Source organism: Homo sapiens, chromosome 3, assembly GCF_000001405.40.
Source record: "Homo sapiens chromosome 3, GRCh38.p14 Primary Assembly".
Taxonomy (NCBI): domain Eukaryota; kingdom Metazoa; phylum Chordata; class Mammalia; order Primates; family Hominidae; genus Homo; species Homo sapiens.
The window spans coordinates 112,383,136-112,398,286 of record NC_000003.12 but is presented as its reverse complement, the minus strand read 5'-3'; the positions used below and the strand labels follow the sequence as shown (position 1 = coordinate 112,398,286).

The 15,151-nt window shown below is 38.5% G+C and overlaps 1 long non-coding RNA gene across 1 annotated transcript in view, besides 2 other annotated features; it reads left to right on the top strand.

Annotated features, from left to right (window-relative positions):
- Window positions 1-15,151, top strand: part of LOC105374041 (uncharacterized) — a 28,575-nt gene that overhangs the window by 6,129 nt on the left and 7,295 nt on the right. The gene's annotated exons all lie outside the window — the stretch shown is intronic.
- Window positions 6,526-6,635: an enhancer, noted in NCBI's record as "active region_20239". NCBI's record gives its function as "activates an Ori minimal core promoter by ATAC-STARR-seq in GM12878 lymphoblastoid cells {active_cell/tissue: GM12878}" and the evidence as "EXISTENCE:reporter gene assay evidence [ECO:0000049][PMID:35858748]".
- Window positions 6,686-7,301: an enhancer, noted in NCBI's record as "OCT4-NANOG-H3K27ac hESC enhancer chr3:112109833-112110448 (GRCh37/hg19 assembly coordinates)". NCBI's record gives its function as "activates a minimal SCP1, AML or CMV promoter by ChIP-STARR-seq in primed H9 embryonic stem cells {active_cell/tissue: H9 hESC(primed)}" and the evidence as "EXISTENCE:reporter gene assay evidence [ECO:0000049][PMID:30033119]".

Genomic DNA, 15,151 nt, shown 5'->3' with positions numbered 1-15,151 from the left:
TACTAAGGCAACCAATTGACCCCATTTAAAATAAGGAGACAAATAATGTTTCATTATTTTATTATTCAAATCAAAAGCAAGTTAAGACTTCATATTGAATTACCCTTCATTATACTAGGCTTCTCTCCTCTCTTTTAGTCATCTTCTTCAGGGTAACCTCAAATGTTCCAAGGTCTTACACCTACTCATCATATTCAGGGAACTGAGACTCCACACACCTCACTTTGAGGCTGGAATATGCTGAAACTGCCTCCACAAACTCATTATTCTGGACCAAGACTTACAGCCTAAAGTGAAGGACATTTCCAAAGAAATTTTCTCCTCACTGATGCCTCTCCTGCTGCAATGCAATGACCCTGGCTATGTACAAGACATACTTTGGCTTGCTCCTGGGAAACCTTTGCTCTGTAAAGAGCACTGAGCTGTTGCTACCATTGCTGGCTTCAAGCACTTTGTCCCCATTCATTTCCAAGGTCAGACCTAATGCCAAGACTTTGTTGAAGGAGAAGTGGGGAGTCTCAGCTACTGCTGCCAGAAAGGCAGATGTTTTCATTGTTTGCTGCAACTTGTTTGTCTTATAGTGGTTTCTCAAGATATCCAGGAAGGAAGAAAAACAAATACCTCACCCTGCCCTAGGAAAGTGACAGACTGTGATGACACTTCCATCACAAAACAGGCCTGGACTCTGAAGCAAGTGTCTCCTCTAACACACCCATGTTAAAACCAGTCTAAGTTTCGCCTTCTCAGGCATACTTCCACTACATTGTGTTTACAATGTTTTTTTTTCTCTATTATTATTTTACTTATTATTTTTTTGAGATGGAGTCTCACTCTGTTACCCAGGCTGGAGAGCAGTGGCGCTATCTCGGCTCACTGCAAGCTCCGCCTCCCAGGTTCACGCCATTCTCCTGCCTCAGCCTCCTGAGTAGCTGGTACTACAGGCACCCGCCACCACGCCTGGCTAATTTTTTGTATTTTTAGTAGAGATGGGGTTTCACCATGTTAGCCAGAATGGTCTCGATCTCCTGACCTCGTGATCCACCCAACTCGGCCTCCCAAAGTGCTGGGATTACAGGCGTGAGCCACCGCGCCTGGCCTTAAAATATTTTAATACACATTTTCATTTATTGGAGAAATGTGTCATTGCTTAAGTTGTTCTGTTTAAACAATGTGATACAGGTCTCATTTAATTTAGAAAGTTTATTTTGCCAAGGTTGAGGATGCACGCCTGTGACACAGCCTCAGGAGGTTCTGACAACATGTGTCCAAGGCGGTCAGAGCATAGTTTGGTTTTATACATTTTAGGGAGACATGAGATGTCAATCAACATATGTAAGATGAACATTGGTTCAATCTGGAAAGGTGGGCAACTTTAAGCAAAGGCAGGAAGACTTGAAGTCATGAGGGGCCTTCCAGGTCATAGGCAGATAAGAGAAAAATGATTGTATTATTTTGAGTTTCTGATTAGCCTCTCCAAAGGAGGCAATCAATTATCTCAGTGAGCAGAGGGGTGACTTTGAATAGAATGGGAGGCAAGTTTGCCCTAAGCAGTTCCCACTTGACTTTTCCCTTTAGCTTAGTGATTTGGGGGCCCCAAGCTTTATTTTCCTTTCACACTCCTAGGTACAGTGCCTAGTCAGGAAAAAAAAAAAAAAAAAAAGCCCCAAAACTATAAAGTCACAGTGACAGTCACAAACATAATTTTCCCACGGTGCTCTGCATCCCACTTTATAATGACCACTGCGCACTCTAATGTTAGTCTTGCATCACCTGAAACTTCTTTACCCTAGGTGCTATGGGTTTATGAGAACATAAATGATACATAGTTATAGAATCACAAGCTGAATAGACTCCAACATTGTCTACCATGAAAGAAACATTTATTCTCCACCTTATGCCATGCCACTACTTTTGTTTGGACCTATTGAGGTACATTTATTTTATTGGATTTTAATGAGCTTGGGACACTGAGAATGCATGTCAAGAAGTAGAAGGGAGGAAAGAAAAGAAAAGTAATGTTATGGTCTGCTGTGCTTTCTTACTTAATACCGAAAAAAATGCAAAGAATAATTCACAGATGAGGACATTGGGATATGAAAAGTGATAGCTCTGTGATCACATAGTTAGTACATTGCAGATCTTGGATTTTAACTGATGTTTTACATGACTTAGAAACCCTTCATATTATTTACACTACTTATTTCTATCCTGCCAAATGTCTCTGTTAATATCCAGACTCTTTTTTGGATTAAAACTCTGAATTATCTTTCTGATCTGTATCATTTAAATCACAAATACTTAGTATGAACACCATAAGTGCTAAAGCATTAAAAAGTCATTAAACAACCTCAAATTAATAAGGCACTTTAGTGTTTGAAAATTCTTGTACATATATTACCTCTTGTCCTTTCTTTAATAGCAGTATAAGATGAATATTTTTATGTCATCTCTTTTTTAAAAATTAGGAGGCCAGTGTCTAGGGAGATAATTTGTGAGAGAGAGCATGATGACGGTGGAGCCAGAATGTGAACTTGGGTCGTCTGACTCCAAGTCCAGAATAGCTGCATTGCTCTACTACATTCAGTGTTTTGTTGAGGAAACATCTGTAGCCTTGCTTTCCTGGGGTACAGCATCAGGGGAAGGACAACAAAGAGTATACATGCATTCTCAGTAATGTTCAACAGTGGTTTCCTTCCACTAACGACTTAACAGAGTTCTCTCTTCTTAATTTCCTTCCTTTTCTCCAGTGAGAGTCTAGAAGTCATTTATATTCACTATGTCAAGTGTTTGAGCTTAATTTTCTTAGGTATATTTTGCTGCTCTCTCTTTACTTTCTTATGGACTCATTCAATGAGAAATTCAAACACAGTCAAACTATCAAAGGCATTCAAACCAGAGCAATTCCATGTTGAGTGAGGGATAGGAAAAATGAAGCTGGAGCTTGCTGGGCTGCATTCCCAGAAAGTTAGGTATTTCCAACCTCTAGATGTTTACAGTTAAGGGAACAGATTTATAATGTTTACTAATCAGACTCAGACTTGGGAGTATCCTGATATCCCGATATCTTTTTTTTTTTTTTTTTTGAGATGGAGTCTCATTCTGTCGCCCAGGTTGTAGTGCAGTGGTGGGATCTCTGCTCACTGCAACCTCTGCCTCCCTGGTTCAAGCAATTCTCCTGCCTCAGCCTCCCGAGTAGCTGGGACTATAGGTGTGCACCACCACGCCTGGCTAATTATCGTATTTTTAGTAGAGACGGGGTTTCACCATGTTGACCAGGCTGGTCTTGAACTCCTGATCACAGGTAATCCTCCACCTTGACCTCCCAAAGTGCTGGGATTACAGATGTGAGCCACCGTGCCCGGTCAATATCCCAATATCTTCAGACAGAAGCGTTCTTAATTTTGCTTTAAAGATAATATTGATTGTTGCAAAATATAGTAATTAAAAAATCCTGTATCACAAACCCTTGCAACAGAGCATGTCTCCTCATCATCTTTTTTTATCCTATATATAAGCAAGTATTGTATCTAGGGTGGATGCATTCTCTTACTTTCGGGAACATCCTACTCTGCCTACGGAGTAGGATGTTTTTTCACCACTTTACTTTCTTAATAAACTTCTTTTTGCTTTGCACTGTGGATTTGCCCTGAATTCTTTCTGGCATGAGATCCAAGAACACTCTCTTGGAGTCTGGATCGGGACTCCTTTCCTGCAACAAAACCATGTGCAGTGTGAGTGCAGGAACATTGCCGCTGCTTGGAGAATTGCTGAGCCTAACTGTTGCAAAAACAAATTCTGCTGGCTGCCATCATTGTCAAAGTGGGGAAGGCTCTCTGTCTACTCACACATGCATATTGGAGCTCTTGCTCTACTTGGCTTACCTCTTCTATTTTCTTAGTTTTCTTGCAACATTATGCATGTCTAAATTCCTTTCCTTATTAGCAAATGGAGAACTTTGCTCTTGGCTGGGGCGCTGAGTCTGATAGTTACATGGAGTTTCACAAAAGAATAGGCTGCAGGGCAAAGGGGAAACTGAAGGCATAATCTTGGGGGAAAGTGGAGTTGAAAGTCAAGGTGTCCAAATAAAGAATCCCTTCAAAGGTCAGGGAATGAGTCAGGAGAGAAAACTATTTATTAACATATTTTAACAAGCATCTTGTTAAACTATTTTTTCATTTACCTCTCCTGACTTCTGCGGGTATGTGAAATTGCAACTCCCACTTTAGAGACATAAACAAGTTTTGTTTTCATTCCTTTCCTTTTCACTTAGGAATCTCAACTTCAGTATTATAAAACTTACATTAATCCTAAAGTAATTCCTGCCCTTCTTCCCAGATTCCTGAGGACCCTATTTGGCTCTTAGAACCATTACCATGTTTCTAAACGTTGAACTGCATCTCATGAGGCAGCACACAATTAATTTCCAAATGTGTATCAAAAATTTCAAGTTAGGAGACTGAGTTAGAAATGATTGATTTTTTTAAAAAGGAAAAACAGAGCTTTTTTCTTTTCTTTTCATAACTTTGGTAAATCTAAAATTACATTGTTTGGGGCCATGAATGTTTATTATGTAACACTTGGTTTTGGGGGCATGAAAATCTATTGTATAACACTTGGCATGCTTATTTAAACAATTTGGTTGATATATTTAGGATATAATATATGTTCGTCTTGTCTAAAAAAATATGGAGAAAGGAAGTCCCTCCACCTTGCCATCTCCTATCTAGGTGACTTTGAGTATGGTGATGACATTATAGATACCACACCGAAACCATGATTCATTAAAACTAATTCATAAGCCAGACTTCATTAGAATTAAAGGTTTCTGCTCTGTCGAGGCCACTAACAAAGAATAAGAAGATGACCCCATAGACTGGGAGAAAATATTTGCAAAACACATATCTGATAAAAAAAAAAGACTGTTATCCAAAATATACCCACCCCCTGAAAAAACCCTCTTAAAACTCAACAGTAAGAAAGTGAACAACCAGATTGGTTGCCCACAACAAATGGGCAAAAGATCTGAACAGACATCTCACCAAAAAAGATACAGATGACTAATAAGCACATAAAAAGATGTTCACCATCGTATATTATCAGGGAAATGTGACTCAAAATGATGAGATACCTCTATACACCTATTTAAATGGCAAAAATTCAAAACAGTGAGAACACCAAATGCTGGTGAGAATGTGGAGCAACCGGGACTCTCTTTTATTGCAGATGGCAATGAAAAATTGTGTAGCCACCTTGGAAGACAGTTTGGTAGTTTCTTCTGAACATATAATTCAAAAATCATGCTCCTTGGAATTTTCTCATATTAGTTAGAAACACATCCATACAAAAATCTGCATGCAGATATCTATAGCAGCTAAATTAATAATTACCAAAATGTGGAAGAAACCAAGATGTCCTTCAATAGGTGAATGAATAAGTAAACTGCGGTATATCCATTCAATGGAATATTATTCACCATTAAAAAGAAATGCACTGTCACACAGTGAAAATTACCATGTGAAGCAAGCCAATCTAAAAAAGCTACAAACTTTATGGTTCCAACTACGTAACATTCTGCAACAGGCACAACTATGAAGACAGTAAAAAGATCAGTGGTTGTCTGGGGTTAGGGAAGAAGAGGGAATGAATCAGCAGAGCACAGAGAACTTTCAGGGCAGTGATACTATTCTGCATAATACTGTAATGATGGCTACATGTTATGATACATTTGCAAAGCTTATAGAACGTGCAACACCAAGGGTGAACCCTAATGTATAGTATGAACTTTGGGTGACAATGATATGTCAATGTCATATGGAGTTTCATTATAACAAATATAGTGCTCTTACGTGGGATATTGCTAGTGGGGGAAGCTATGAGTATGTGGGGGCAGGGAGTATGTGGAAAATCAGTGTACCTTCTGCTCAGCTTTGCTATAAACCTAAAACTAAAAAATAAAATCTATTTTAAAACCTAAAAAACAAAATCTATTAAAAAATAGGATTAGACATTTGCGTAACCTGAAGTGCCTCTAAGAAATCTTAGAGTCATCTGAAAGAGTTTGGTACCCACCAAGTGAAACTGTCGTTCATTTCATAACTAATAATATCATTGAAAACCACAATACAATCAAAATAAATTGAAGACACACCTCTTGAGAAACTTTACTAAATCTTCGCAAACATATTCTTTCCATTCCTAAATGTAACCTTATGGGTCAACTATTATTTTTAAGTTAACCTTCTTTATCTATAAGAAGGCTTTTAAAACTCATTTACATATAAGGAAACAGATGTACAAAGAAGATCAGTGGGTTGCTCAAGGTCACAGAGCTAGTAAGAGAAGAGACAGCGTCAATCCTAGGCTCTTGCGTGACACCCTGGAACTCCCTTATCCTGATCTCTTTCTTTGGGCAAGACCTATGACACCCCGCATGAGGAAAAAGAACTAAGTACACTCAGTGAAGCTGTGCCTTTGGATGACTGCATTGTGAGCTTTCCAGAGACTGCCAGTTCCTCTGCCTTGGGTTCTGAAGGGCACCAGCCAGGCCTCTCCTGAGTAGGAGGCTAACACAAGTCTGGCTCTGTCCAGGAAGGTCCTCTGTGCCCCATGGGTGGACTAAAATGAAGAATGCTGAAGAAGCCACTGAAATGACAGGGAAGGTTCATATTTCAAGCAGAAAATACAGCAAATGTGAAAGCCTTGAGTTGGGAACAAGCAGATGCCTGTGGCCAGGCAGGAGAAGGAGCCCCCAGGAACCACCAGTGGCAGGGCAGAGGTGTACATAGTTTACATTTTATTCCACTGAAACATTTCCTCCTTATCATTTCTTTTCATTCCTGCGTATGTGTTGACCTCAACTCAGATGGAAGCCTTGCAGCTGAAGGCAGAAGAGGGGAGGAGGCCTTACATGGTACCACTGACTGTCAGGAAATGAGCATATTTGGTTAACAAGAGAGGGATGAGGAGAGAGAAACAATTGAGTTCTGTTTCCTGAGTGACAGAGCTAGCACCAGGCTCTGCTGAAGAAAGCACAAACAAAAGCTTTATTTGTTTCCCAGCAGCAGTGCCCACTAAGGCCTCTCCACAGAAAAGAGATCTGAAGAAGAAGCCAATGAGATTTATTTTTACCATACCGAGTATGTGTGTTGAAAGTGAGAGGCATCTGGGGGAGTTACTTTTTAGCTGCCTCTTACATAGCTTCCCAGCTAAGGAGTTTTGGCATCTACCTCCTTAGGAATTCCTACTTTATCCTTCATGCTTCAAGACTAAAGCTCTTGCAGTTCCCCGAACAATGTTATCCCTCTCTTCTACTCAGTCTCAATCTGTTTTGGCTCACGTTTTCAGATTCTTTATTTTTGACCTCAGCATTACTTTCATCAGAAAGATTTTTTGGCTCTGTCCCAGGGTGACATCAATTGGGCTTTTTTGGAAAAGATTCATAGAGGCTTTTGTGTGCAGAAAACAATACTTACAGTACTCTGTGTTGTCACTGACACTCATTCAACTACAATTATAAACGGAAAACTTTGCTTTTCTTAAGGTTTTAAACATAATTGAAAAACATTTGGTATTAATCTATAAATGTAAACATTTTTCAGTTAAATTAAGCACGGTTTGTCCTTGGTTATTGTTTGGTTGGCATATATATATATATATATATATATATATATATGTATGTATGTATTTCACGAACAAAATGTATATAAATCTTTAGGTACTATATATAAGCTTAAATTATTTCATATTTTAAATATACAGTTGACTCTTGAAAAAGGCAGATGTTAAGGACATTGTCTCCCTTCACAGTAAAAAATCTACATATAACTTGACTCTCCAGAAACTTAACTACTAATAGACTACTGCTGACTGGAAGAATTACTGATAATATAAACACTCAATTAACACATATTTTATATATTATGTGTATTATATACTGTATTCTTACAATAAAGTAAGATAGAGAAAAGAAATGTTATTAAGCTATTCCTAAGAGAAAATATATTTACTATTCATTAAGTGGATCATCATAAAGGTCTTCATCCTTGTCATCTTCACACTGAGTAGGTTGAGAAAGAGAGGAAAGAGGAAGGGTTGGTCTTGCTGTCTCAGGGGTGGCAGAACTGAAAGAGGTGGAAGAGGTGGAAGGAGGAGTGGCAGGCACAGTGGTGTAGCTTTACAGAAATACATGATTTCTGTCTGCCTTTTTTGCTTTTTCATTTCTCCAAAGATAATACCATACAGTACCAATCCTTCCACCATTTGCTTTAATTTCAGTTCTTGTATCATAGAAGACTCCATGTTGTACAAAAAGTCAGAAGCAGTGTTAAATAATTGTAACCCTTCTGCCAGATTGTCTAATGTCAATTTGTTTTCTGGCACTGCTTCTCCTATGTACTCTTCCTCACTATCTCACACTGGTTTGGAAGTCCTTATCTCCATCAAGTTTTCTTCTGTTAATTCTTCTGATGTGGTGCCTATGCGTTCTTGAACTTCTTCATGATTCATATCTTGAAACCTCTCATCCCTGCACCATTTTTGCCATATCCACAATCTCTTTCAAGATTCCTTTGACTGGTCCTGCCACAAATCCTGTGAAATCATGCACAACACCTGGACACAGTTTTCTCCAGCAAAATTTATTTGTTTGGGCCTGATTGCTTTCACAGCATTTTCTGTAACAACGATGGCATCTTCAATGGGGTAATCTTCCAAACTTTCATGATGTGCTCTCTATTGGGATTCTCCTCCATAGTGCTGACAATCATTCCATAGACTACCGTGAATAATGAGCCTTAAAGGTCCTTATGATCCCCCGATCTCCGCTGAATTACAGATGCTGAGTTTGTGGCCAAATAGACCACTTTGATGCCTTTGGTGTAGAACTCGTAGAGTTCTAGGTGGCCAGGGACATTGTCCAATATCAAAATAACTTTATAAAAAAGCCCTTTACTGGCAAAGTACTTCCCAATTTCAGGAACAAAGCATTGATAGAACCAATCAGAAAAAGAGTTCTCATTTTCTGGGCCTTCTTGTTGTAATACAGCCAAGAGACTGACAGCTGGTGTTTTATTTTCCTTCAAGGTTTGGGTGTTAGTAGCTTTATAGATAGGGACAGCCCTGATCACAAACCCAACTGCTTTTGCACAAAACAATAGCATTAGCCTATCCCTTCCTGCCTTAAATCCTGGTGCTTGCTTTTCTTCCTTACTAGTAAATATCTTTTGTGGCATTTCTCCCCCACCCCCCAAAATGGGGCACTTTCATCTGCAATAAAAATCTCTTCAGGAAAATGTCCTTTATCCTCAATGGGTTTCTTAATGGTGTGTGGAAATTTGCTGCCTCTTGGTTGGCAAAAGCTGCTTTTCTTGTTATCTTGTCATTTTTTAAGCCACACTTCTTTCTAAAATTATCAAACTATCCTTTCTGGCATTAAGTTCTCCAGATTTAGATCTTTCACCTTCCTTTTGCTTTAAGTTATCATATAGTGACTTTGCTTTTTCTTGAATCATGTTAGAGTGTATAAGTATGCCTTTCTTATAGCAATCCTGCACCCACATAAAAGGTGCATTTTCAATATGACATAAAAAGGTATTTTGCAAAAAGTGCGAAGTCTTGGTACTTCCTGGCCTAGCTGTAGTGATGGCTTCATATCTTCTCTTTTCTTCTCTTTTTTTTCTTTTCTTTTCCAATGAGCCTTATACTAGATTCATTTATCCTGAAGTGACAGGAAACTTCAGCTGCAGACCCCAATCTATGGGACCTATCAAACAATTCACCTTTTTTTGGTAATGTCGTGACTCTTCTCTGTTTCTTGGGAGCACTTCCAGCAGCACTACTGACTCTTTGTATGGGTCCCATGGTGTTATTGAAGGTTTATGATATTGCACTGAAAAATGAGTGAGAACTTCAAAAGGTCACTTTTTACTGGGATACGCAATTTATGGATGAGACAAACTGCTCACTTGGAGGTGATTAGCATCACATGACATTTCAAGCAGATACAATGCTTGAGCTCACTGCAATAGCAATGAGAGGTGGCTACAAAAGTATTACAGAAGTACCACATGTACTATAATTAATTATAGTTTTTATGCAGTTATTATTTTGATAGTACATCTCAATTTATTTACATTTTTCTCAACTGAGAATGGTGCCATGTAGTCTTTAAGTGTCTGTATGTGTAAGTGTAGACAAACTAACTTTTTATAATAGATTTTTGTACATCTTATAGAGTAAATAAGAAAATAGACTAGTATCAATATGTTTTATGCATTCATGGCGTACCTTTTTCTTAATCTTTTTGCTATTTCTAGGCATGATTTATCTGTGAATATTTAAACATTGTCAGACATCTCCAAAAATTTTTCTAATACACTTATTGAAAAAAAAAATCCATGTATAGGTGAACCCTTGCAATTGAAATCCATGTTGTTCAAAGGTCAATGGTATATAATTCAAGAAATGGAAGTCTAAGTCCAATAATATGATTGTTTCTAAATAGTTAAACATATTTTATGTACTTGGTTAATTATATTCCTATAAATGTTTCCAGCTATGGTCACAATTTCATATAATGGATTTTCTCAAGAACTTTAAGCACCTAAAAGAGCAGATTACAAATCCCATAAAGAAATCCTTTCTATACACATAAGTAATTGGGATAAGTCAAATAATAAAATTACACATTTCCATATGGTTCTCTTAAGCATTTAAACATCATAAAACTTGCCCTCATATATTTAGTAAATCAGGTTAACTATTTAAAATTAATTGCAAGCATACCTTTTTTTTTTTTTTTTTAGATGGAGTCTTGCTCTTGTTACCCAGGTTGGAGTGCAATGGCACAATCTCGGCTCACTGCAACCACCTCCAAGTGATTCTCCTGCCTCAGCCTGCAGAGTAGTGGGATTACAGGCGCCCGCCACCACACCCAGCTAATTTTTTTATTTTTAGTAGAGACGGGGTTTCACTGTGTTGGCCAGGCTGGTCTCTAACTCCTGACCTCAGACGTTCCACCCGCCTCAGCCTCCCAAAGTGCTGGGATTATAGGCGTGAGCCACCGCGCCTGGCCTATACATAGGTAAAATCTTCAAGTGTTTTAGTTAAAACCATCTATTATGTTAGTTTCTCAAATATTTTTAATACAAAGCATATACAAAGCAGTATCATGATTTTTTAAACTTGTTATATTTGCATAAAAACAAATTATGCAAAAATGACAATATCATATTCATTTTTAAAAATCATCTATTTCTCTTTTTTTGATGTAGCCTTGAGTTTGCAAAGTCATTTAATTAAGTAGAACAGAATTATTTCAGGCCCACCACTAAAGCTGAGATTATTCACTCAGAGTTGTTGGTCAGAGATTTGATAACAACAGTATGGATTTGGGGTCACTGGTCACTGGACAAGGAATTAAAATCTGGAACATGTGGACTAATGCAGAGCACCTTCTGAGAAAATTCAGCTCAGGTTTATAAGGAAAATCCCCTCTCAAGAGTTCTGCTGTTAATGGAGAACTCATTGATATTATCAATTTACTGTATCACATAAATTTTTGCCATCTTTCAAATTTACCCTGAGACAAATTCTGTCATAACTGCCTATAACATTTTATCACTTGATTGGATAGATGAATACGCACAACCAGATTTGAATCTCTTTGCTTCCTAATTAGAATAAACACAGTAGTGTAAGATTTTATATTCTATGGCTTAGCAAACACGATTCCATTATTAATAGCTAGTATTCTGGTCTTATTATTTAAGCTGGGCAAGGCTGGAAGTGAGAACGTAAATTCAAGCAAAGTTCAGAGAAACCAGTTGTATGAGCTTCCTGTGGCTGCTGTAACAAAGTACCATGAACAAGGTTGTTTATTGTCTTGTAGGTCTGTAATATAGAAGTCTGAAATCAAGGTGTCAGCAGCACCATGCTCTCTTGAAATCTTTAGAAGAGGATCCTTCCTTGCCTCTTCCTAGCTTCTGGTGGTCCGCAGGCAATCTTTGGTGTTCCTTGGTTTGTATATGCATCGCTCTAGTCCTCCATCTTCACACGAAGTTCTTCTTGTGCCTCTGTGTCTTCACATGGCATCCTTTTTATAAGGATGTCAGTCATATTGGATAGCACCCTACTCCAGCATAATACCATCTTAACTTAATTACATCTGCGATGACCTGTCTCCAAATCAGGTCACATTCTGAGGAACCCAGGGTTTGGACTTCAACATATGTTTTTTGGAGGAAGCAGTTTGATCTCTAACGCCATGTTAAAATCAATGGACTGTAGATCCTGGTAATGTTAAGCAGTTTATCAACCTTGGCATTATTGACCTGTTGCACTGAATAATTCTTTGCACTGAATTATGTTTTGTACTGGAAAATTCAGGAGGTCTGTCCTGTATATTGGGAGATGTCACCAGCATCTTTGGCCTTTACCTGTTAGATGCCAGTAACACCCTCTTGGTGTGATAACCAAAAATGTCTTCAGACATCTCTAAATACCTGCTGGAGGGGTGGACATCAACATTGCCCTTAGTTGAAAACCACAGATGAAAGAAAAAGAATAAAGAAAGGCATACATAAAGGAAAGCCAGAGAGGAAGCGAACAGGAAAAATAGGAAATTTTCTTATGGCAATGGGAAGTGTGTAAATGAGGTAACAAAGGGGTATTAGTTTCTGTAAGAAAAAGATTAGGATATGATTATAGGAGTGAGGCAAGTGCCAGATGTAGGATGAGGACTGGGTTGGTAGAGGGGAAAAAGCCTGGGAATTAAAAGGATCATGTGTGTACACATTGATATATAGCGAATAATTTTATCACAGAAGTAGTTTTGGAGGCTGACTGTTAACCAGGAACTAAAATCTTCAAGAAATGTGGGAGGCAGGGGTGATCTGGGGAAGATGAATGACTATAACAAAGGGAAGGAGAAGGTAAAATATCTGATTATTTGAGATTCAAGCAAGTCCTTTTATGGAGTCAGAAAAGACAGCAGCCTAGAAGTGGCAATGGGGGACAAAAAGGACATCCCTTCCCCCCATGCATATGTCTGCATCCAGTGATACAAGAAAGGCAAAACCACTGCAGGGGGCTGCAGGGGATACTGTCCTCCAGGGGCACCAAGTTCAGTTAGTGCAAGAAGAGGTGGAAGGGAACTTTTAGGAAAAAACTTGAGGCCACAGAGAAGTTTGCTGATTATTGGAGTTCCAGGGAACAGAGTTGGAGGAGTTCAGTGGTTGAGGACTGATCAAAAACAGGAATTAACAGAGCCTTATCAAAATGAGTGTAAGGAGGAATGAGCAATTTCCTAAGAATCAGTCCTTGGTTTCTTGCAATGACTGATGTAAATATGGATAAAGACATATTAGATAATGGTGACAAAGCTGGTGTTTTTGAGAGATGAGGGAGGAGGGATCTTGTCAGGAGCATGCAAAGTTTGAGGGCTCTCTCTTAATCTTTGATGGTGGATTTTTCAGGGTCATTTTTCACTGGGCCCTGAATGGCAGCTTAGAGGAAAGCAGTTTTCTGCCAGCAAGATATTTAAAAAAGAAAGAAAAAAGCTTGAGTGTTGGAACCTGAACCCTCTGAGTTTGTATGCCAGCTCTCAGCTCTGCTACAAAGAAGAAGGGAGATGTCTTGTCTTTTTTTTTTTTTTTTTTTTTTTTCTGAGATGGAGTCTTGCTTTGCTACCCAGGCTGCCATGTAGTGGCTCCATCTCAGCTCACTGCAACCTCCGCCTCCTGGGTTCAAGCAATTCTCGTGCCTCAGCCACCGGAGTAGCTGGAGTACCTGGGATTACAGGTGTGCATCACCAAGCCCGGCTAGTTTTTGTATTTTCTAGTAGAGACGGGGTTTTGTCATTTGGCAAGACTGGTCTCGAACTTTATTTTTAACAAAAAAGTTACTGAAATATATACTGAACTGTCTGCTGAGTTGTACAGACATTAATAACTCAGTCACATTTTAAATCAATGTTTTTTGCACTTTCACATAACCCATGGGGAGAAATACCTTTTATGGCATAATCCAAAGTACATATTTGTGAGCATTTTATTAATGAATACTTGCCCTTATTGCATGTTATGCACACTGGTAATTTATTTATCATATTATTATTTTGTATGAGACAGGGTCTTGCTCTGTCACCCAGGCTGGAATGCATTGGTGCAATCATGGCTCACTGCATCCTGGACCTCCTGGGCTCAAGAGATCCTTTCACTTCAGTCTCCCAAGTAGTTCAGACTGCAGACATGTAGTCACTTCATCCTCTCCATTCACATGATTTACACTTTGTAACTTCACATTCATCCTCTCCATTTACCTAGATCACACGCATCAGGTAACATCCTCTCTATTTACAATATGGCACATACTGAGTAAATGACTCTGTGACTTCACTTCATTCTCTTCATTTACATAGAATATATGCCAAGTAACCAATGGGAAACCTCTAGAGTATTGAAACCCCAGAATATTCTGTAAGTGGGGCTCTTGAGCCCCTATGCTCGGCCCGCTCCCACACTGTGGAGTGTATTTTCATTCTCAATAAATCCCTGCCCTTGCTTTCCTCGCTTTGTTTGTGTGTTTTGTCCAATTCTTTGTTCCAGATGCCAAGAACCTGGATACCTTCTACTGGTAACACTGCTGTTTTTTATATTGTTTCAAATAGAAACAATTAAGTTCATCTCATGATACCAATTTTGAAGCAACTTTATTCTACAAACATACATTGAGCACCTTCTCTCAGCCTAGTTCTGATGGTTATTTCAAATTTAAAGAATAATGTAGATTCTGTACCACAGGCCACTGGGGAAAACAAATACATAAATACTTACCAAATAAAGCATTACAATAGAAATCTGTCAAAGTGCTGTTGGATCTTAGCCTAGAAAATCTGAGAACATCCTTCAAAAGGAGAGGACAATTAAACCTTGCTTCAAGATGGAGTAGGACTTGTGTATACAGAGAAAATGTGCTATGAAGATATAAATTGTGTTCCAGGTGGTTATTTCTTAGGCTAAGACACGTACAGAATTTGGTTTATACAAATAGTGCTTTACCACTTTTCTTCTGAAATTTAATCAATCTCATTTATCATCTTTCTTGGATTTTAGAAAAAATATTTCATTTCTGTAGAATTGTCCTGCTGTTGGCT